At 41.7% G+C, this 22,806-nt stretch overlaps 1 protein-coding gene across 5 annotated transcripts in view, besides 1 other annotated feature; it reads left to right on the forward strand.

Annotated features, from left to right (window-relative positions):
- Positions 1–22,806, forward strand: part of POU6F2 (POU class 6 homeobox 2) — a 490,693-nt gene that overhangs the window by 400,841 nt on the left and 67,046 nt on the right. The window lies entirely within an intron of this gene.
- Positions 21,825–22,325: an enhancer, noted in NCBI's record as "H3K4me1 hESC enhancer chr7:39440173-39440673 (GRCh37/hg19 assembly coordinates)". NCBI's record gives its function as "activates a minimal SCP1, AML or CMV promoter by ChIP-STARR-seq in naive H9 embryonic stem cells {active_cell/tissue: H9 hESC(naive)}" and the evidence as "EXISTENCE:reporter gene assay evidence [ECO:0000049][PMID:30033119]".

A 22,806-nucleotide genomic window follows, 5' to 3' on the forward strand; every position in this document is an offset into this window, starting at 1 on the left:
GGAACACCAATGTGAAATCCTTATTAAATTGTTTCTGATCATGTGAAAGGTGAAATCAGCCATTCTTGGCAATTCATGTGCATATAGAAGTGTCTGATGTTCATATTATAACAGAATTATGTAGTTCTTTAAGCTCTCTTGATGCTCACGTTATAACTGAATTATGTAGTTGTTTGAGATTTTCCCTTGTGGGGAAGATTGATTAAACATGAAAGATGCTAGAGGTGGATCAAGAATGACCTTGCAATAGTCCAAGGTCTAGTGGAAAAGAGGAGGACAAGCAGATGGATCCTCAAAGTCAAAATGGTAAGATAAGTCATTGATGGGACCTAGAAGTGAAGAGAGGAGCCAGGCCTGAATGACTCAGGAATCGGGTAGGAGGGCTCTGGGGGAAAGAAATTGAGTCCGTTTTGAACAAGCTGAGTTTTAGGTGCTGCGCATCATTCTCGTGGAAATACACAACAGACCTTTGGGATTTGTCTGGAGGTTAGGCCCAAGTTGGAGCTAGAACCACAGATTTTGGCATAGAATCATATGCATTAAAATCTCTTCTGGTGGAAAGATATTTTACTATATTACTCTTCCTCCAGCAATCAATCCGCTGTAAATCAATAGTGCTTTACAGTCACTATTACATTTTGAAAGTCCATGTACTCAGCTAGCCACTTCCCCTTCTGTCTTCAAACCACCTCCCCTGCTCTTCACCCTGCACCCACCTGCCTGCAGAATCATTTCACCTCCCTTCCTCAAGCTCCAATCCTCCTAACTCAAATGTTAAGGGACAGGCACAAATTATTTCTTTTTCCTGTTTTGCATGACTCATTACTAAATGCCCTTTAGGTAAAATTCCACCCAGTTTTGTGATCCTGCAGTAGAGCCAGACAGTCTACAAGCTCCGCTATTTTCCACGATGATTACTATCGTTCTCCTTTTTTCTTTTAAAAAAAAATTTTAAACACAAATCCAGGGCTGGTTTCTCCTCATCGTTTTCCCATCCTGCCTTGCCCTCCTATCACCAACACCAACTCCCCTGGTTTTCAGAGAGAACTGTTCGCTTGGGCCAGAGTGTGAGAGGATATTCCTTCTCAAAATGAAAGCCCTCGTCATTTTGAGGTAAAATGCCTTTCTAGACAGAGCTGTATGACTTTCTGAAAGAGGGCATTTATAGAACCTCAAATAGATGAATCGTTTTCTTTCAAGCAGGGAAATGTATTTTACTCTTCTTGCTTCAACTGGGATTGAGCCCATTCATTTCATTTTTTATGCTCTCCTGTTTTATTTAGAAATGATCTATTCATCCCAACCCAATTGAAGAAATATAGATAACTCAGGAAAAAATTGCCATATTATTCACATGAGAAATATAGATGCTCCCACTGAATATTTTCATGGCTCCATTTAATTTGAGCTGTATAAACCTGGCCTAAAAAATTCTCTTTTATTTGTTATACTCTAAGAAGGCAGTGTCATCCCTGGAGTGAGTGAGACCCAGATTCTAATTGCAGCTACTCCCAGGCCTCTTGGACAAGGCATTTAACCTCAGTTTTTTCACCTGAGAATGGGAATAATAGAATCTATTTTTCAATGTGTTGTGGGATTAAGTGCAGTAATTTGTGTTGGGTATCTGGCACATACTGTGTTACATGGTAAATATTATTACATGTATAAAAATCATCCTTTGCAGGAATCTTTTTGCATCTCCAATAATGTTGATGTAGGCCACTCTGCTAGCCTAGCAGAAGGATGCTCTGAAAACTCCTTATTTTCAGATTAGCACTGCTTCTATTACAAATTACAGGAGGTTTTTAAACTGTAACAAAATAAGGACAACATCAGTGTGAGAATACTATATTCTAGCAAAAAAAGTCACCTCATTATAAATTGAAATGTCTTTTACCTATTTTGTATTATTATATTAGCACATATCCATTTCTATGATAAATATCTGTACGGAGGCAAAGTATGAAAAGCTGCCGAAGTGCTGCTCCTGCCTTTTGGCTCCTAGAAGTCTTCCCTTCTTGGTTCTCTTCACAGTGATATTTAGTAATGACTTCGCTGAGACAAGTTTCCCGACAGATCCCCAAGTCCTGCTTCCTCGTGTCGTGTGCACCAGAAATTCTACTCGTGCTCACCCACTAGTTTCTCCAGTGGGCCCAGGTAGAAGCACTGTGTGGCATTCAGGAGACAGGTGGACTCAAAGTCCTTAGATTATCTCATCCCCTAAAAAAGGAGAAAACTGTGGGGCAGCCCACAGCATGGAGTGACAGGAAAATTGTGATCAAACATCCAGCCTTCTCAGCCTTTTTTGTTTTTTGTTTTTGTTTTTGAGACAGAGTCTCACTCACTCTGTCCCCCAGGCTGCAGTGCAGTGGTGCGATCTTAGCCCACTACAACCTCTGCCCCGCCCCGGGTTCCAGTGATTCTCCTGCCTCAGCCACCTGAGTAGCTGGGATTACAGGTGTGAGCCATCATGCCCAGCTAATTTTTGTTTCTGTTTTTGTTTTTCAAGATGGAGTCTCACTCTGTTGCCCCAGCTGGAGCGCAGTAGCACGATCTTGGCTCACTGCAACCTCTGCCTCCCGGGTTCAAGCTATTCTTGTGCTTCAGCTTCTTGAGTAGCTGGGACTACAGGCACGCGCCACCACACCCAGCTAATTTTTTGTATTTTTTTTAGTAGAGATGGGGTTTCACCACGTTGCCCAGGCTGGTGTCAAACACCTGACCTCAAATGATCTGCCCACCTCGGCCTCCCAAAGTGCTAGGATTGCAGGCATGAGCCTCCATGCCCAGCTTCATTTCTTTCCATTTTTAAAAACTTCTTTTTCCACCCCAGGCACAAGGCATTTCACCTTGGGTCACATTTCACCAACCCATCCAAAGCAACTTTCAAGAGAACCCCAATGAAGTCTTTTGCTATGAGTTGCAAAAGACTGATTTGTACATATAGGTGTTTCTCAACCTAAGGATATTTGCATGATTGCAGGGGACAATGCCCATGTTCCAATTTAAGCAGAAAAATGACCTAATTATGAAATGGATTCCTATAATCAGTTGATTAGATTCCTGGTTTCCACTTACTGACCCAGTTTCTGTCTGTAGTAAAGTTATACAAGCTCTTCTGGAACCTATTTATATCTTTAACAAATCCCTTGAGCTAATAGCTATGTAATTTCATGACAAAGTGTAAGAAAAAACATTTTTTTCACCCACAACTAGGGTAACAACTCCCCTGTTAGAAATTCCTCTGTCCAGCAACTTAGCTCTTTGTAGCAGTTGAGAATCAACACACAAGCAAATAATAATAATAATAATAATAATATAAAAATGGTTCAATCTTTGTCAAAATGTCATGTACATTATTTAAAGGAGAGAAATCACTTAAGTTCTGACCCAGATCCAACCAGATTGGTTATCTGGCTGCAAAAGCATGGAAGATTATAATTAACAAGTAACAAGAGAAAAAGGTGCTTTTCGAAGCAGACCCAAGGACACCTGAGACCCTGCCTATCAGAATGGGAAGATACAGAACAGAAACATACAACAGAGAGACAGAACAGAGGTTCAGAGAGACAGAACCTCTAGGCCTGGGAGCTTGAAGCAAAGGGTGGAGGTCATCCAATAGAAAGAGAGCACCAGCACAGAGACTCAGACCTGGGCCAGCAGGATGGGGGAAGACCTAGAGGAACCGAGGCAGGCGAGTGGACCAGGGTGAGGCAGGCAACTGGAATAGACCCCACCCCAGCCACGGATCTCAGGGAAAAGAGACAGAGTGCTGGACCCAGGAATTCATGTGGTGGGCCCACTGGCCCTGGTATGCAGGATGAGGCAAGCCTTTAGGATAGAGCTGGCTGTCTTGGGAGGTTGGAAGATTAAAGGTTGGAGGAGGCTGTCAGACTGGAAGGAATTGTAGCTTGCAGGTTTTCAGGGAAAGAACTCAAGCAAGAGCAAATGTGATCATAACCCAGTTTGAAGAGGCTGGTTGCCACCTAGAGCCTTAGAATAGGGCACTAAGTCAGAAAAGCTTGAATGTACTGTTTATCTGACGGGCAAAGCTCCTCAGGTGGAGATCCTCAAACACCCCAGAAACAGGACTGGGGGCAGAGAGCCAGGCAGGTCACACTATGACTAATTGATCTTCATAATAATACCCTGGAGTCATCAAGAAAATGAGGAATTTCATTAAGTATAGGAAGGCACAAAAAATTATTGGTGTGGAAAGGTAATGAATAATATATCATGTAGTTTTTAAAAAGTGAATTTAAAAATTACCTTTCCGCAAAAAGTACTTATACTGTGCTCCTATTGTTATTAATATGCGCATTGCCAAGGAGAACTGCAAGAGGACAGGTACCAAAATATTAGCATTGTAATCTCTGGGATTGATGTGGTTTTAATTTAAGTTTTATTTGCTTGTCTTTACAATTTTCTACAACAAATTTGTACTTTGTGTGTAACAAACGTAATACATGTTAAAAGAAGGAAATGTAGTTGGCAATGCATTTTGTAATATTTCCATGCACAAGATTAAAATTGTTTTTAAAGCCTCTCAGCCATTCAAAAATCCTGGTGATCTGATGTGATTCATGCCTCTAGGAACCCCAAACAGCTATTTTTTTTGTCTATGACATAAGAACCTCAGTCTGAATCACCACTAACAGAAACTTTCTATGTTCCTATTTTCTGCAATATTTTAGTTTATTCTTATAAGGAAAATGTTAAATTTCCTTTATTCAGGAGATCTAAGACCCCCAATTAGATCAATCCAGTGGTGTAAACTCTTCAGCATGAAGAGCTACATCTTTGACCTCTTTTGTCTCCACCAACAGAGTATTAAAATCAGCACTGAGTTCATATCACTCAGAGATGCTTAACCATTGACCAAAACCCAAAAAGACTGCATGAAGGTGTCCACAATCACACAACAAACCAGTCATGTGATGCAGTGCTAGAGTGCTCGGGGTGTGCTTAGAGTGCTCGAACCAGACCTCTGAAGATGAATTACCATTTCTCTCTGTGAAAGCTACAGCCATTACCAAACCTACTGAGAAAGTACATCTTTTCCAAAGTCAGGAGTTTCTACACCTATAAGATCTGGGCAGCTTCTCTGAGCTTCTGTTTTTTCATCTCTCAATTGCCTATCTCTCAGCATTGCTGTTACATTAGATCTCATGGAAATGCTTCTTTAATTCTGCAAGGGCAGAATGATTTAACTGTATCATCTTCTCCCCAGAACGTTTAATTTGAATGTGATAAATGGCAACCCAGATAGGGGTCTCAAAATATGTGGTAAACAAATCATTGAAATGTAAGGAACTCAAAGATATTTGATCCTGAAGCTGATTCAATAATCCAAAGCACTGCCCAGTTAGAGGTCAAGGAGGGGAGGATAAATCCAAACCAGCCCCAGTGGTTCTCATTTGTTCCACTAAAGTCTGGAGAAAGGAATTTTATTGGTCGTGGCTCATAAAATAATAGATACTCTGTCCTGAGAAATACTTGCAATTGGTTTGGATCAAATGCTCCTGGGCATGGACCAGACAACATGGCTGGGCTGTTTCCTTTTTGTAATAGCGGTGACAGATGACCGTTAAAAACTATATAAAGTTTTTAAAAGTTTTAACAAAATGCACTGCAACTCAAAGCACGCTCTTATCAATGATCATGTCTGAAGACTATAGAAATGTAGGGCAACAAATGAGTTAAGAACTAAAGAGTTAGTTGGAATCTGCAGTTCTTTTGTGTTTCTTTTTAACCAAAGTAAACAAATTTGCCACATGTATTTGCTATAAATTAAAATAATGAATATGCAAAAAATGACAAAAAAAAAGCCCTGCTTGTTTCTGCCTCAGGGCCTTTGCACTTGCTGCTCCCTCTCAGCACTGTTCTGCACCCAGATATTTCCATGGCTGGCTTCCTCTCATTTCTAAACTCTCACCTTCTCAGAGAGATCTCTCCTGACCACACAATTGAAAGTATCTTTTCTCTCTTCCGCAGTTAGTCCTTTTCTTTCTAGCACTTCCCACTACCTAATATTGCCTTGTCTGTGGTTTATCCATTTGCTATTTGTCTCTCCCGCAGCTCCTCATACACACAGAATGGAAGCAAAATTATTGAGTTAAGTTGATTCAGAACACATTTGGAAGCTTTGTGTCCTCTAAATAAATCCTCATAAGTAGAGGGATAAATTTTGATCAAATAATAATATCCAAATGTTTTTGAAGCCAGGATTTAGAAAATGTTGTTTTTTGTATATATGTGATTTATAACCTGCCTGCACCCAAAAGGGATCTGAGAGAACTTATAATCAAAAACATATAATACTCATAAGCAGAGCCAGTAATACAAACACCAAAATCCATGCAGAGTGACAAGAAAATAAGATACCAAATAGCTAGGCTTATATCATTTCTATAATTGCTAATTAAATTTAACCCTGAGCTTCCTGAGGGTTAAGTTAGAAAATGAGACACAGTAAGTTCTGCAAATCTCAAATCTTTGCAATGGAAAGAGTATCTGTGTGTCACGAATGACTGCTTTTTCCCTCTTGTGTTTTTATTCATTCAACAAACACCCATTGCTTGCCTAACAAGGCATTGCGTTCAGCACCAGGGGCAGAGGGAGGAAGTAAAGATGAATAAGACATGGTCTCTGCTCCTGAGTTGCACACGGTCCTGGGAAACCATCACCAGTGAGAGAGAAGTATGCTAGTCAGAGGCTTGGAGGTGTGAAAGAACATGTTGGGTTCTAGGAGCTGCCAAGTTGCTCAGAGTGGTCAGAGCATTAAGAACCCAATAATCACCCTTGTGCGACCTGCTGTGTGCCTGAGCATTGAACTTCATACCGATGTCCCAAGGTAAATGCTTTTTATCACTCCCCATTGAGACTGGAGGAACTTGAGGCTTAGAGAGGCTTGGTATGGGGATGCCGTAGTGCCCCAGGTCCCTCTTCAATGGAGAAGTGTTGCTCCAGCTGTCCGGGAGTGCTCTTGGCTCACAGCCACCTGCTGTCAGCAGCCCCTCTCAGAGGGTCTCAGCTGCAGAGTCTTCTCATCCAGAGCTTTGCCCAAGGCCATGCCCCTTTCTAGGGTGGCCTACATCCAATGACCTACTCACAGGGAGCTTTAAAGAACCAACTTAGGGCAGATCACAAGGTCAGGAGATCGAGACCATCCTGGTTAACACAGTGAAACCTCATCTCTACTAAAAAAAAATACAAATAATTAGCCAGGTGTGGTGGCGGGCGCCTATAGTCCCAGCTACTCGAGAGGCTGAGGCAGGAGAATGGTGTGAACCTGGGAGGCAGAGCTTGCAGTGAGCTGAGATCGCACCACTGCACTCCAGCCTGGGCAACAGAGCAAGACTCCGTCTCAAAAAAAAAAAAAAAAAAGAACCAACTTAGGCCACTTTTACAGACCATTCTGGCTCCAAAGCTTCCCCGTGGGGCTGCCAGAGATGCCAGGCCTGCACCATAGCTTGATTTCTCTCTGCTCACTCCAGCTGCCACCTGCTCTCTTCTTCAGGGGTCAATCCCAAGGTCCCTCCTCCATTAACATCCTACACACTAAACTCACAGAGTCTGCTTCTGGGTAAACACACCTGGAACTCTATCTAGGTGACAGGGTGGCAGAGCCTCCTTTAGAACCCAGACAATATGACTCCAGAGCTCCACCGTTCTATTATAGCTCCCTCACACTTGGTGCAGAGTGCAGATGAGGTTAGAATTGTACATTTGGGGCAGTCACAGTGAGATGAGAGATGAGTTGCTCCTCTGAGGACAAGGGAGAACCAGCAAAGATTTTTAACAGGAGGGTGATCTCAGCAAATGTTTCAGGATGGCTGCTCTGGCAACAGCACAGGGACTGGACTATGATGGGAAAGGTCACCTTATCTCTATAATATTAGGCCATGTTGAGCTAGAGTCCCACTTTATTTTATTTATAATTCCTTCTTTAATTTTCTGAAAATAATGCAAAAAAAGAGCAAGAAGAAGTTGGATCAAATAGCAGTGGCACACAATTATTAGCACACTTATCCTGTGTATAAATCCCTAGATAGGTGGTTGCCTTCCAGTCTGTCTTCAACGCACACACAAAAACATCTTTAAATACACAGCCGGCAAGCCAGTTAGGAGATGATGGTAATAGTCAATGTCGTGCTCCCCTCTGCAGCGCCCCCTTGCATTGGGCTCATGACATCAACCCTGAAAGTGGGGCAGAAACAGTCTAAGCTGGAACAGCAACTGCTCAGAGAAGTTGTATCTCAGCTGGAAACACTAGCTGCCCAGGGCCATTGCAGCAGGGGACCCTGTGGTAGGTTGAACTGCCATGCAGCACCCCGTGCTGGGGGACAGGAAGACAGTGGACCCAACCCGCTCATCCCCAGGAACCCAGGGTCACCCACTGGATGGTTCTGCTTGTCTCTCCACAGTGGTTGTCTCCATGACAAGACACACACAATCCTTATTTTATATTCCATCGTGCCATCTTTGAAATAGACACATATGGACACGCATGAACACACATGGCCCTGTTCCAAATCCCCACCTACCAGTACTAAGAACCATTTCATAGTTTTCCCCTCCTAAGAGTTTTTTGTCTAATACGTGTGCATCCTTTCCATTGCAGTCCCTGCCATTCAGACTTCTTCTTTTACAGACCACAATGGCAGAACCCAGGAAAACCTGACATTTGTTTCACAGTTTACGTAGCTGATTGAATGTACTCTCTACAGTTCCATTACGTCTCTAACAAATACACTAGTTTTTCCCTTTAGAGAATAGGGGATTATATTGGAATGTCAGGATCAAGTTAGTACGTCAGGTGCGCATTCCATCCACATGAACCTCCACAATTCGGTGGCTCCTGGCTCCACACAGCAGAACTGATATAATCATCCACATACAGTTATTCAGCTTTGTCCATTTGGATACAGGACAATTTCTGCCAAAAACAGTTGTTTTCATTTGCTACAGATGCTCTCGAGCTGCTGTCTTGATAGTCATGGAACATTATGCTTTAATCAATCATTGATGGAGTCCATTGGCTGTCAGGACTGAGCCTCAGGTAAAGTCACAGAATGAATCTAAGATCCAGCCATGGCCTCGAAAAGTGCACATCTAACATGTTCATGTGATTCCTGAGGCCGCTCCTAGTTCATGGAGGGAAAGCCAGACCTCCTGCCTCGAGCAGTCATCCAATCCATCAACAAGGCCACTTCATATCCTTTAATTGTAAAATAAAAATAAAGGGACACCAGCATCAGTTATTTCTAGGAAATTATAAATCCTCAGGTTATGACCTTTCAAAGAAGGAGCAGAGTAAATGTTTTTCAATCTTTATAAAAAGAGAATGGAGAGGTTTTTTGGTGAAAGCAGAATTGACCATGTATCTGTTTTCATGGCCCAGTGTTTCACTGTCCTGCGACAGTGCTCACATGGAAAACTTCACCATCACAGGAACAGAGAAGGGAACTTCAGTAGGCGTCATCACAGTCCCCATCAATCAAAATCACCTCCTTGCTTCCATTGTTTGAATGTCCTGTTGATATCCTTGTTTGATTATCAAAATGATTTTCTTTCTTTTTTTTGAGTCAGAGTCTCACTCTGTTGTCCAGGCTGGAGTGCAATGACACAATCTCAGCTCACTGCAACCTTTGCCTCCTGGATTCAAGTGATTCTCCTGCCTCAGCCTCCCAAGTAGCTGAGACTACAGGCTCCCGCCACCACTCCCAGCTGATTTTTGTAATTTTAGTAGAGACAGGGTTTCACCACGTTGGCCAGGCTGGTCTCGAACTCCTGACCTCAGGCGATCCACCCACCTCGGCCTCCCAAAGTGCTGGGATTACAGGCATGAGCCACTGCACCTGGCCCAAAATGATTTTCAAACAAAGAAAAGTTGGCTGTGGAATGATTCTCATAATGGTGAATTGAACTTCCTGGGCTTAGTCTTCTGAGAAAAACAAAAATCAAAAAGAGAGAGAAAAGTCTTTATTTTGCTGTCAAGTGCGTCTATCTATTCTGGTAAATTAACGGCTAGTACATAAACTCTATTTCATATTTGAAACCATTTCTACTTGAGATAACCTATTTTTTAATGTATTGCATGATTACTATTCGAATACTAGGTGACAAAGTTCATGAGAAAGAAACACATTAAAAATGTTTAGAAAAATATAGGATTGTTTCAAAAAGTTTTTGAAATGGAATGCAATTTTTTCTACATTTCTTGGGCTTATTTACCATAATTTTATTGTTTTATTTTGATATCTGTACACTTCAGTTTACTGGCTCCTCCTCAAGAAGATGTTTGTCACAGAGAAATATATCTGTATTGGTCATAGTGTTACTAGCAATGGCCATAAGAAACACAAGTAGTGTCATTCATTTTCAGAAATATACAGCAAGCCCCCGTGCCATTTTACTTTTCTAAACACATCAGTGAAAATTTAGGGGAAAGAGTGTAGCAACATGACTATATCATGTCTTGAATAAATGTATTTCCAAGAACAATAGTTCTACATGTTTTAGTTTTATTCTGACATGCTTCAAAACAATCTTGTCACTGATGAATTCTAAAATATCAAAATGATTTATTTTAGAGCCAGGCTTTTAACTGTAATATTTTATTATAATTTATAATGACTATACTTTGGTTATATCCAAAGTTTCTCAGAAACTGGATATAAACTTCTTCAGTTCTGAAAAACTTTGGATATAACCAGACCAACAGTTGTGAGTAACTTGCCTTGATTGCAGTTGTGAAGGATAGCAATTGATCTGTAGGTGCAAATCAATCTCTCCACCAATATTTCTAAGGTTAAAAAAGAAGCTGTGGTTACAGAAGCTAAGGAAAATAGAGGACCAAATGTAAATTTGCTCCTTCATACAAAAATATTTTTTCCTAACTGTAATATCCAATACATATAAAAATTTGTGTTTCTTGGTTTTATTTAATGTTGAGGTTTCAAAAACAAAATGAGATTCTTAGTGGCCATTTTTCCCCTGTGTTTAACAATTATATTAAGGCACAAATGAATAGAAAATAATGAAAAGTATTACTCCCAAGCCAGAATTGGGCAAGTCAGCCACAGATCCAGTTCAAACCCTATGACTTTTAAAATAGACACATATGGCCACAAATGAACACAGATGGCCCTACTCCAAATCCCCACCTACTGCTGAGAACCACTTTATAGTTTTTCCCTCTTAAGAGTTTTTTGTTTAATACATGTGCTTCCTTTCCATTGCATTCCATTCCATTCAGACCTCTTCTTTTTTTGGAATGTAAAAGATGCTACATCAGGTAGGTAGTGATAGTGAGGACACCATCAGATACGATCATGCTCACTTAGTGATATTTCAATTAATAGCTGGGTGCAGTGGCTCACTCCTGGAATCCCAGCACTTTGGGAGGCTGAGGCAGGTGGATCACTTGAAGTCAGGAGTTCGAGACCAGCCTGGAAAACGTGATGAAACCCCATCTCTACTAAAAATACCAAAATTAGCTGGGCATGGTGGTGTGTGCCCATAGTCCCAGCTACTTGGGAGGCTGAGGCAGAAGATTCGCTTGAAAGGGGGAGGTGGAGGCTGCAGTGAGCTGAGATAGTGCCACTGCACTCCAGCCTGGGCGGCAAATCAAGGCTCTGATAATTCTGACAAAGCAGAAATATCACTGTGATGGTCGCTTAATGGTAAGGCAAGGCAGATGTGTTTGTGAATTCTTAAAGCTCATGCATCTCCATGATTCTTGTTAAATCAATAAATCTTAACCAATTTGCATGAACATTAACAAAAGCACCAAAAGGAATGTTTTCCAGACCTAGATGGTTTGAGAAGCATCTAGGTTTGGAAGATAGAGTCCTTCCTTTAGCTGTAGTTGATGAGAAAAGCCAAGGTGGATTACAAATTTCTTCCATTAGTGCATTCGTTAAATCGGCGGATAACAAAGTAATACATGACCCAGCTTTTCCCAGAGTGTATAACATAGAATATAAGTTCTAAGGGATGTTAGTGGCGTTACATGAGAAGTGGGTACTATCATCAAATAATGTTGGGCAACGCAGAGTTAAACAAGCTGAACAGGGTTTTCTTGTTTTTTGTTTTTTGGTTTTTTTTTTTACCTGTGGACAACTTTCAGAACCATCAGTGTCCTGACATGCATTATAAATCACCAAGAGGTAGATGCTTCATGCAGTGTTCCCCAAACCTGTTTCATTCCCAAACCTTTCATTCCGAGCAAACCCTGGGACTAGGGTCCCACAAAACACACCTTGAGGATTGCTGTAATTGTCAAGTATTCTACCAAAATATCATTGCTTGCTAACATGTATAGCCACTAGCTAAAAAATACATTATTCTTAAAACATTATGAACTTCCATTTTATTTTGGTAAATTCTTGAAAAATCACATTTTCTTCTTGTTACTTGATGGCTTTTTTTCTTGAAACCTCTGATGACTATCTTGGTCAATTTGTCCAAGTTCTTAAAGCCAAAATCTTAGAAAAGTAAACATGTTTATATGTTGTGGTTTTTACTTCATTTTCTATTTCAATATTTTATTTTAATATTTCCTATATAATAATTATATGATCACCTCCTAAACTTGCTTATTTTCTTTTCCTCCTTTTTTTTACACTGAGCCATTTGCTTTATTTTTCCTTTAAGTATGGCAATTGAGAAGTATAGAGGCATAATGAATAATAAGATGTGCTCTCATTTTTGAAAATATAATGTACAAAATAAGAACTCAGTAGTGTACATGTTATTCTGAAAAAAATCAAAGTATGAGTAAAACTTTCTACCATCCAGGCACAAGAATATATCCCCTCAAAACCTAAATTATTCCCAAGTTTCATACCAAAGTTATCCTGATGAAAATCCCCAGCAGCTGTGTCTCTGTCAACAGAGATGGCAACCCTCTCTTGCAAAGCGACAACCAACCCTTTCTCTTCCTCCCTTCTGCAGTACTGTCCTTCAGTACACAGGCAAAACTGCTATGCCAGTTCTAAGTCTTTGCTATAACCTTGAAAGCCTTTGTCTGGTCGACTTGCAGTTACTTATCTTTTAACATTAGGTAACTAGTTGTTATTTAAAATCTATTATAGATTTAAAGTTCCATTGTTTTCCCTAGGATAGAACATTGTGATAGCTCTGATCATGTTGGAAAGGCCACTAGTCCCATTCCCAGCCCAGAGGTGTTCACGTGCCTCTTGTTGCTGCCTGTGGGCTGCTGGAAGCCAACCTAGAAGTCAATGAACAGCCCAGTTGTTTTAGAAACTTGCTAAAGCCTTGACTCACTAAATATTTATTTTTAGCCATATGTTCCTACTTGCTGAAACAGACTTAGAAAATTCTATTTAGTTAATACATTTATTTAGTAATCCCTCTAGGAGCAGGACTCAAAAAATATAGCACTGTTCCAAATTTTATTCCATTTTAGCATATCGTAGACTTTTATCATTTGAAGAACCTTAAAAAATTATCTGATTCAGGGCTTCTCAGACTTTAGCATGAATTAGCATCACCTAAAGAGTTATTAAAACCCAGATTGCTGCTCCAGCCCCCAGAGTTTCTGAGTCAGCAGGTCTAGGGTAGATGCTGAGAATTTGCATTTTTAACAGTTCACAGGTGAAGCTGATGTGATTCATTCCAGGACCACACTCAGTGCCACTGTGGGAGAAAGCCCTTTCTTCCAGGTCTGCTTCAGAGAAGCTGAGCGTTCTTGGAACTAGCCTTAGACCCAACACCCCACAGAACTCTGGAAGGAGGGAGCAAATCTGGCTTTCTCCCATCCTTGGAGCAACACAAGGGATGATTGATGGGTGGACCTCAGTGTGTATCAGAGGTTTTCGTCAGGGAAGGGTAACTCTGTAACACACATCCCTAAAACTGCTGTGGCTTCTTTGCTGTCTGGGACTACATTTTGAGAACCACGGATGTAGTTCAACCTTCTCAATTTACGGACAGGAACATGGAGGCTCAGGCGAGGCAGGACGGCATGACCAGGGAGCTGCTGATGCAGGAAGACAGCCCAGGTGCCCAGACTTTGAGCAATTTTACATTCTCTCCTGCACTACCAGTTACCTAGTTTCTGCTCATAAGTGCACAGCCAAACATTTCTCAATAGTCACAGGATTGCCAAAGCATTTTTTAAAATATTTTTCTCTTTGCTGATTGGGGAGATGGGTTTCTTCCATCAGTGATTCCCTGCTCTCTTCTTCCTAAATGTAGAAAATTCCCACACAGCCTTGCTTTTGCTCTTGGTGAGATTAAGCTTTATGTTTTTAAACCTATGTTCGGTTTTATTAATGGAAACTTCCCAAACAATCTATACAACAATACAAAAACTTTTTATATTTTCTTGGCTTACGGCTTCTACAGGTAGTGGTTCTTACTGTTAGCTTAATGTGTTTAGAACAAACTATAACCAATATATTTTGTGAGCAGAGAAGGATTTTATTTCCCTCTGAGCATTCTAGTCATGTTTTCTGCTTTCCGTTTCATGTACTTATCTTCCCACTTCTACACAGTCGTATTTTCTCTAATAATTTAGACCATTTGTTTTTCCTAACGACATAGTTCTCTTTTGGGCACTTAATGCTGCAGCACCTCTGGCACGGGTGTGGCAGATACTCCTGGAATGTTCAGCTGCTTTTCGAATCATCTGCCAAAAGGACCCCCTGGGCTCTTTACAATGAAGAAACCTTCATGGATGTGAACCCAGGGCTGCTTACAGACACCCACTTAAGATGGGTGTGACATGACCAGAAATGGCATTTTCTTCTCCCTATAGTTAAAATGATATATCTGACCCTTATTGTGAATTCAAGAGGGTAGATGTTCTAAGGTTCAGCGGCAGACCAACAACAAATGGCTTCATTTCTACTGGTCCCCTAAAAATATATATCGTATGGCCCAAATGTAGTATTTTTTGTGGGATGGCTAGCATATCTCTGGCTAGCTTCCTTCTACAACAGCTGTTCAGTGGATACATTTTATGAGGCAAGCAAGCCATTATACATAATAATAAAATTCAGTAACAGCTTAACAAGGCTCTCCATTTGCCCATGGACTGATAAAACAAAGATATTATGCATAACATTTGTTACAAGCATATTTTAATAACCAATGTGGTTATTGGGATGGAAGGAAGAGGAGGCATATGCTTTGTTCCTTATAAGTAATTAATTGAATTAGCTGGACTTAAGAAAAGTTTCTTGGGTTTCAGTGGTACAAATAGAATCTGTAGAAAAGACACAATATTCTGGAGTAAAATACATCAGAATGCTCCAGTACTTAGTCCCCAAATAAATAAAAGACTTCCAGCTATGCTGGGCAGACTCTCAGGAATCTGAGATCTCATAATAAACTAGTACAGCCCTTCTAATTAATTTTTAACATTATCCTTTATAAAATCACAGCTCAGTCTTAACACGTGCACCCAGCCATGGGGGTTCTTCATCATCTGTCTATGTAGTTTTTTGTAATAGAGAACATTCTGTATTTTTAAAGATGATGCCTTTGGTTTTATTATTCAAAGTTCAATTATTAATTTTTGGTCAGTCAGCAGTTTAGCGTTCCCTTTATATAAAATAAATGAAATTATTTTATAACTTGATGACTACCAATTGTTATTGTTTCCTGGGCTGCAAAGCTGTTAAAGCTAGCTCTTTAATGTTGCATGAGGATGTGAACATTGAGGTGTTTTCATAACAACAGCCTGCAGGGGAAACGCTCTGTGGGCACTCTGCCATATGAACTCAAGCACACCACTCATACATGGGCTTCCTATTTTCCTTCTCCCACCTTCTTTCTCTGCCTTCAAAGCCCATTTCAGAAGGTTCCTGAGCTCCATCTCCTGTCTTAGGTGTGCTGTGGACATTCAGAGCATAGCCAGCTTTCTGACATCCCACAATCCCATAATTATTCTTTTTTCTATTCCAACTGTGTGTCTTTCCCATCTGCTCAATTGGTCTGTGATTTATCCAGGATTGAGCTGCTATCAGTTCTTTTGTGAAGCATCCATGACACCCCTCCTCTTTCCCCCACTGAGCTAACCAGTTCCCCAGTATGTCCACGGCTCACTTAGCATACCCCTACACTGGCTTGTACCCATTGGCTCTTGTCTGTCTACTTATCTGTCTCTCCGATACTCTAGAAGCTTGCAGGGAGAGACCACACCACCATACCTGACACACAGTCGATGCTGTGTTTGATGAATGAATGAGTGGTGAACCATACCGTGCTTCTGTGTGCAGTTACCCCCAGCTGCACTCCCTCCCTCTGATTGCCCTATTGCTCCCAGCTACCTCCTGTTCTCATCTGCCTCCAGTCTGACCCATCTCCACCCAGTCCAACTCAGTCTCCAAGGTGATTATTCTAAAGTTCACATCTGATCATGTCCCTCCATCATTGCCTATGAACAAAGAGGACAAGTCCATAAAATAATATACAAGGTCCTCCCTCTACAAGCACGTGCCTTACCCCATAATCTGCTGCTTTCCTCCTTCTACTTCATGTTCCCCAAAATATCAGAAGTGCCAAACTAGCAGCTCTCTATACACAAAATCCTATTTCTCAACACCACACCTTTGATGATGCTATTCCCAGTGGGTGAGAAGCCTGTTCCTCTCACCTTCTCACTGCCCTCACAATCAACTCTGAGCCATCCTTTACGACTCAGTTCCAAAGCTGTCCTCCCCAAGAAATCTCCCACACTCCCCACAGCCTGATGAGGATCCCTTGTCTGGACTCCCTCTGCCCTTCTCTTAAAGCATTGGCTACGTAGGGTAGACTATATGGGCAGTGCCTCAAGGCATGAGGCTCTTGTCTTGTCCATCTCTGTGTCCCTGGGGGCTGGCACAGAGCCTGCACCCTGGTTTATTAGAAAATATCTGATAAACAACACTGTGTTGAAGCTCCAGAAAGAACCTGTGTCTCAGCTTTCTTGGAGCCCCTCATCCTTCCTGGTCTTTTTTCTGCACTCAATAGCACCTATTGTCCCTTGTAAGAACTCAGCAAGTATTGGGAACTAAAGTAAATTAGGCACAGGTGGGTAAAGAGTGTATTGTGCTTTTCTGTAGCTAGAAACTAGAGTAACACCCACTGCTATACTGTGGCAAAATTTATTTCCAAAAAAACTTTCATCACAAGAGTGCCCCCAATCACTTGTTTAAACTGGATGATAGAATATAAAAAAACAAAACCAGAAAGAGTAATTTTGAAATATCAACAAATTCACCTAACTAATGTGCCATGACAATAGGCAATTGGTAAGAGTAGCACTATTGTATGTAAGTAAGAAAATAGCATGAAACTCAATAAAAACATAGATTTTTCAGGTTATTAAATGGAAGACTAGACAGAAAAGGAAATGAGATGTGTAGGCTTGTAGTAATACAGTATTTGTCTACATATAACTTGGATAAAATCTGATTTAGAGTTGGTGTGTCTCCATAATGCTGACCTCTCTACTTCAAAATCAAATCAATGTATTGGGTTAAGTTAAAAGCTAGTTTTTCCCTTCAACTCTGGGCTTGACTATTTTGTCAGTAAATTTAAAAATAAAAAGAAATGCATCCATTTGGAGAGCTTTCTAAGAGTTTGCCACCAGATCATTGTGTGTCAGCCAGACTCATTTATTTCCTTCCCCTCCCTCAAGTGCTCCCAAGCTCCCTAGGTGCAGAGCTCATTGATAACTCTGCACAACTTGGACCTGGGCCCCATGTAGGATATAGCTCTCTCTCCAGCATACTTCTAGAATAACTCTTCAGCGTGTCCACAAGTGCTCATGGAGAGTCCCCTCTGTCCACCTGCAATGAAGTCCAGGCTTCGTGAAGCCATCTGAGTAGAGCCTCACTTTTCACTCTGCATCCAATGACCTCCAGGAGCCACAGACCATCTCAGTGCCCAAGTGGCCTGATAACCCCCAGAAATCCCACCTCCTTAACTGATGTTACTCTCCAGCGCCTGGCCTCAAAGCAGCAGCACTTGTGCCTAGGGGCACATAGAATCCATCCTTATCTGGGGAAGGCAGCCTCTTCAGCTTAGGCCCATGCTGCTGTCTGTGGGGCTTTGGCCTAGTTCATGAGGCAGGGGTGGGGAGATGTAGCCTCCATAGCCGGACTCTGTCTCCACCACCATAACCAATCATTAAAAAAAAAAAAAAGACTTGTTCACTGCCACTTTATCCTTCAGCTCCCAAATAACCTCAAACCAAGAGATTAAGCCCTCAGCCCAGCCCAGCCCCACCCAATTCCAGGCAAAGAATTTCTAGGGACATCTGGGATGCAATTTCTTGGTCCAAAATGTCCAGAGAAGAGCTAGGTCTTCACCTTTGGCTGCTGAGTTTTTATGTCCTGGAATATTCCCAACTAGTATGAAAGACTGCTCGGTGCCAATTTTGACCTTTCAGGACTCTGCCTGTGCAACTAAGAGGAGGGCTGCATTTGTTGGTGCTAACTCACATGACAGATTGGAGCACAGGCGTTACACAGGAGCTCTCAGGACTGAGTCACCAGATGTGTGAGGCTCTGGCCAGTTGGTCCAATGTGGTGTGAGAGATTGTAAAGTATATATATTATATATATATATATAAAATATATAGACATATATAGACAAATATATAGAGAGACAAATATATATAGACAAATATATATATAGACAAAAATATAGAGACAAATGTATATGTATTTATATATAAAATATAGACATATATATAGACATAGAGAGAGACATATATATATATATATATATATACACATTTTGGAGACAGAGTCTCGCTTTGTCACCAGGCTGGAGTACAATGGCGCAATCTGGACTTACTGCAACCTTCGCCTCCCGGGCTCAAGTAATTCTCCTGCCTCAGGCTCCCGAGTAGCTAGGATTACAGGCACACGCCACCACACCCAGCTAAATTTTGTATTTTTAGTAGAAACGGGGTTTTACCATGTTGCCCAGGCTGGTCTTGAACTCCTGACCTCAGGTGATCCACCCGCCTGATCCACAAGCGTGAGCCACTGCAAGTAGCCTGTAAAGCATATATATAATATGTATTTTATATATTTTGTGTATATATATATATATATATAGTAGAGACGGAGTCTTACTCTGTCACCAGGCTGGAGTGCAGTGGTGCGATCTCGGCTCACTGCAACCTCCGCCTCCCGGGTTCAAGCAATTCTCCTGCCTCAGCCTCCCAAGTAGCTGGGATTACAGGCATGTGCCACCATGCCCAGCTAATTTCTTTTGTATTTTAGCAGAGTTAGAGTTTCAGCATGTTGAAGCACGTATTTTTAAAAAAAAAACATTCAGACAAGTTTGCCTCTAAAATTTCTACTCTTTTCTGTAAATATTAAAGAGTGAAGCTCCCACTATGTTCTCAGTCAGGTAGAGAGATTTTCAACTCACTCCTTCACTCGATAAACATTTATTGAGGGCCTACTGGATGCCTGGCACTGTTGAAAGAGTCAAAGATACAGCAGTGAACCAAAATGCACTTTTAGAGAGCGGGAGAAAGAGGATAAACAAGTAAGTGAATAATATAATATCAGACTCTAATAAGTTGTGAAATAAACAAGACTAGATGGAGAATTGAAGGGTTTCTTAAAAACTTTTATGATGGAAAATTGTGAGCATATATAAAAGTAAAAAAAAAAAAAAAAGTCTAATGAGCCATATAGATCCACTATCCAGTTCCTACAATGATCAAATCAAGACCTGTCTTCCATATCCCCACCCACCCTCCCACTTTGGACTATTTTGCACCAGATTCTAGACATCATATCATTTGCTTATAAATCTTTTGGCATGAATCTCTAAAAGAAAGGGAATGCTATGTAGATAAGGTAGTCAAGGAAGGTGGCTCTAAGGAGGTGATCTGGGAGAATGGGAAAAAGAGTTCCACTGGTGGAAACAGCAAAGCAAACAGCTGAGGTAGTTGAGGATCTGCAAAAAGGCCAGTCGGACTATCCCAGAGGGAATGAGGAGGAGAGAGGACTCAATCCTAAAACAGCAATATGACCAGAAGTTCCTAGAAGGAATACAATTATTACAGCAAAACTTATATGGGGCTTATTATATGGCAGGAGCTCTTCTAGTATTTTGCCTATATTATCTCATATATTCTTCACAACAACCCTACAATGTCATTACAACTATTATAATCCCATTTTACTACAACTAAAGAAACAGACACAGAGATGTGCAGCTAACTACGGGCAGCCTCAGAATTTGAACTGAGGCAATCTAGTTCCATATTTCAAGTTCTTAATCGTTTCACTGTGCTGCTTCCACTTTCAAGGTAGAATGGTGCATTAATTGCAAGACACATTTCTGAGCAACTCTGTGCTGCCTCTTCCAGATCTCTCTAAACCACCACCCCTTCTCCCACTGACCCCTAACCCCAGATTGCCGCCCCCTCCAGGTCTGGATACTGCTTCCTGGCCAGCTTATTTTTTCCTACTTCCCTTCTCTTCCCACCCAAATTTTTTTCCCTGTTAGCTATACTCCCTATGAGGGTGGAGAACATGTCAGTCTGTCATTCGCACTGTATCCCCTCACACAATGCCCAAAACATAGTGGGTACTGAATAAATGCTCGGTCCCACAAGACTGACCCCCACTTCAGCTGCCTGTTGCAAGTAGGGGGTCCCCAGATTACCCACACTTCTGTCCGACTTGGCTACAAATTGGAGATTCCCACCATTCCCTCCTCATGCACAATAATTTGCTGTAATGGGTCACAGAATAGAGGGAAACATGATTATCAGTTTATTATAAAGGATACAAATGAGTGATCAAATGAAGAGACACATAAAGCAAGGTCTGGGTTGGGCCCAGTGGCTCACACGTATAATCCCAGTGCTTTGGAAGGCTGAGGCAGGAGGATCACTGGAGCCCAGGAGTTTGAGACCAGACTGGGCAATGCAGCAAGACCCTATGGCTACAAAATCAGAAAAAGGCAGGAGAGGTGGCATGAACCTATAGTCCCACATACTTGGGAGGCTGAGGTGGGAGGATGGCTTCAGCCCCAGAGTTCGAGGCCACAGTGAATTAGGATTGGACCACAGGACTCCAGCCTGGGCAACAAAGGGAGACCCTGTCTCAAGAATGTAACAAAAAAAAAAAGAAAGAAAGAAAGAAAAAGAAAAGAAAGGTCTCAAGGGGTCCAGAGTGCAGGAGCTTCTGTCGCCAGGGAGTTTGGGGTGTACCACCCTCCCAGCCCATGGATACATTCACCAAAGAGAAACTCTCCAAATCTGTTGTATAGGGTTCCATTATGAAGACATGATTGCTGAAATCATTGGCCACTGGTGATTAGCTCAGTCCCCAGCCTCTCTTCCCTCTCCTTCGTTCGGGAGTGGGGCTGCAAGTTCTATCCCCATAGTCACAGGGTTTGGCTACTCTACCAGCCAGGTCGAATTCTCCTAGAGCCACCTCATTAGCATAAAGTTGGGTGTGGTTGAAAGAGGGCTTCTTAAGAATAACAAAAGATGTTTTTCCTACCCCTATTACTCAGAAATTCCAAGGGTTTAGGAGTTCTGTGTCAGGAACCAAGGATGAAGACAAAATATATATTTCTTATTATGTCACAAAATGATATGTTCCACCCAGATCCCCTGGAATCCCTCTTTTTCCATGAGTTGCCCCCACACCTTGGGCTTTCAATGACCTGCATCTGAAGGCTTTCTTCCAAGGACTCCCTCAGGCTCCAGGATCCATTTGACCCCAAGAGCAAAGGGCCAGCAGTGCCTGAGCATTGCCAACCCTCATCTTCACCCCACGGGCTGTTAACCAAGGACTGTCAGGTATAGGGTATGACAGCCCAGCTTCCTTCCCATAGGGTGGGACAACGCTGAGACCCTACAAACACTCCAGAGCCTCGAGCTGGGTCAGTTTTCCTCCCTTCCCTTTTCTGTTTCTGGGAAAGCTGACCAAAAACCTTAGGTTACCTTAAAAATTCCTCTGTTAGCCAATATGGCTGTATATTGGAACACTCACAGAAAATTACTATACTTCCAATTTTACCATTAAGTGAAAATAAAATATAATTAATTCTGAAACTATACCAAAATCATGGGATTTTACATTGGTGAGTCAAAGCGTTGTAGGACTATCTCCTTAGTTCAGCTAAAGATGAGGTCCTTGTCATACAGCCATGAAAAATTAGGACCACAGACAATTTGAAGGGTGAGATAAACAGGATTTATTGGGCAAAAAGGGAAACAGGGACTCTCTGCAAAGCCAGAGTCCCTGCTGGTGCACTTCCTGATTGAATCCCAGCTTCCACCCAGGAAGAGGAGGGGCCAGGCTCCTCCCTGCTGCAAACAGCGTGGATTTCTGTGGCTCCACCCCAGTGCACATTCTTCCCAGTGCGCAGGCTGGTTAGTGTTTCTCTGGGGACTCCTTTCCACCTGGCTGTCTCAAAAGGTATTTTAGGATGTTGCAGTGCCTCAGAGGCATCTCTCAATCTCAAGCACCCCAGCCCCAAAAATCTCTCAGCAGTGGTCAATGGAGACAGTTGGCAGAGAGTGGGAAGGTCAGCATCTAACACATTGCCACCACTACAGGGAAGGGTGGGCAGACAGTGAGCAGCAAATCCTGGCTCAATACTGGAACTCACAAAACAGGTTTTCTAACTGTTATGAGGGTGTTGTTATAACACAACAATAATGATGAGACCCGGGGGGAAAATTTAGTAGGATAAAACACACATCAACCACGTTGTTGAGATAAATATGGTCACTCTTCCAGTATTTGTCTACTGATAATTTCTTGACTTTTTAAGAGAAGACTTGAGGGTAAGATGTGG

Source organism: Homo sapiens, chromosome 7 (genome assembly GCF_000001405.40).
Source record: "Homo sapiens chromosome 7, GRCh38.p14 Primary Assembly".
Taxonomy (NCBI): Eukaryota; Metazoa; Chordata; class Mammalia; order Primates; family Hominidae; genus Homo; species Homo sapiens.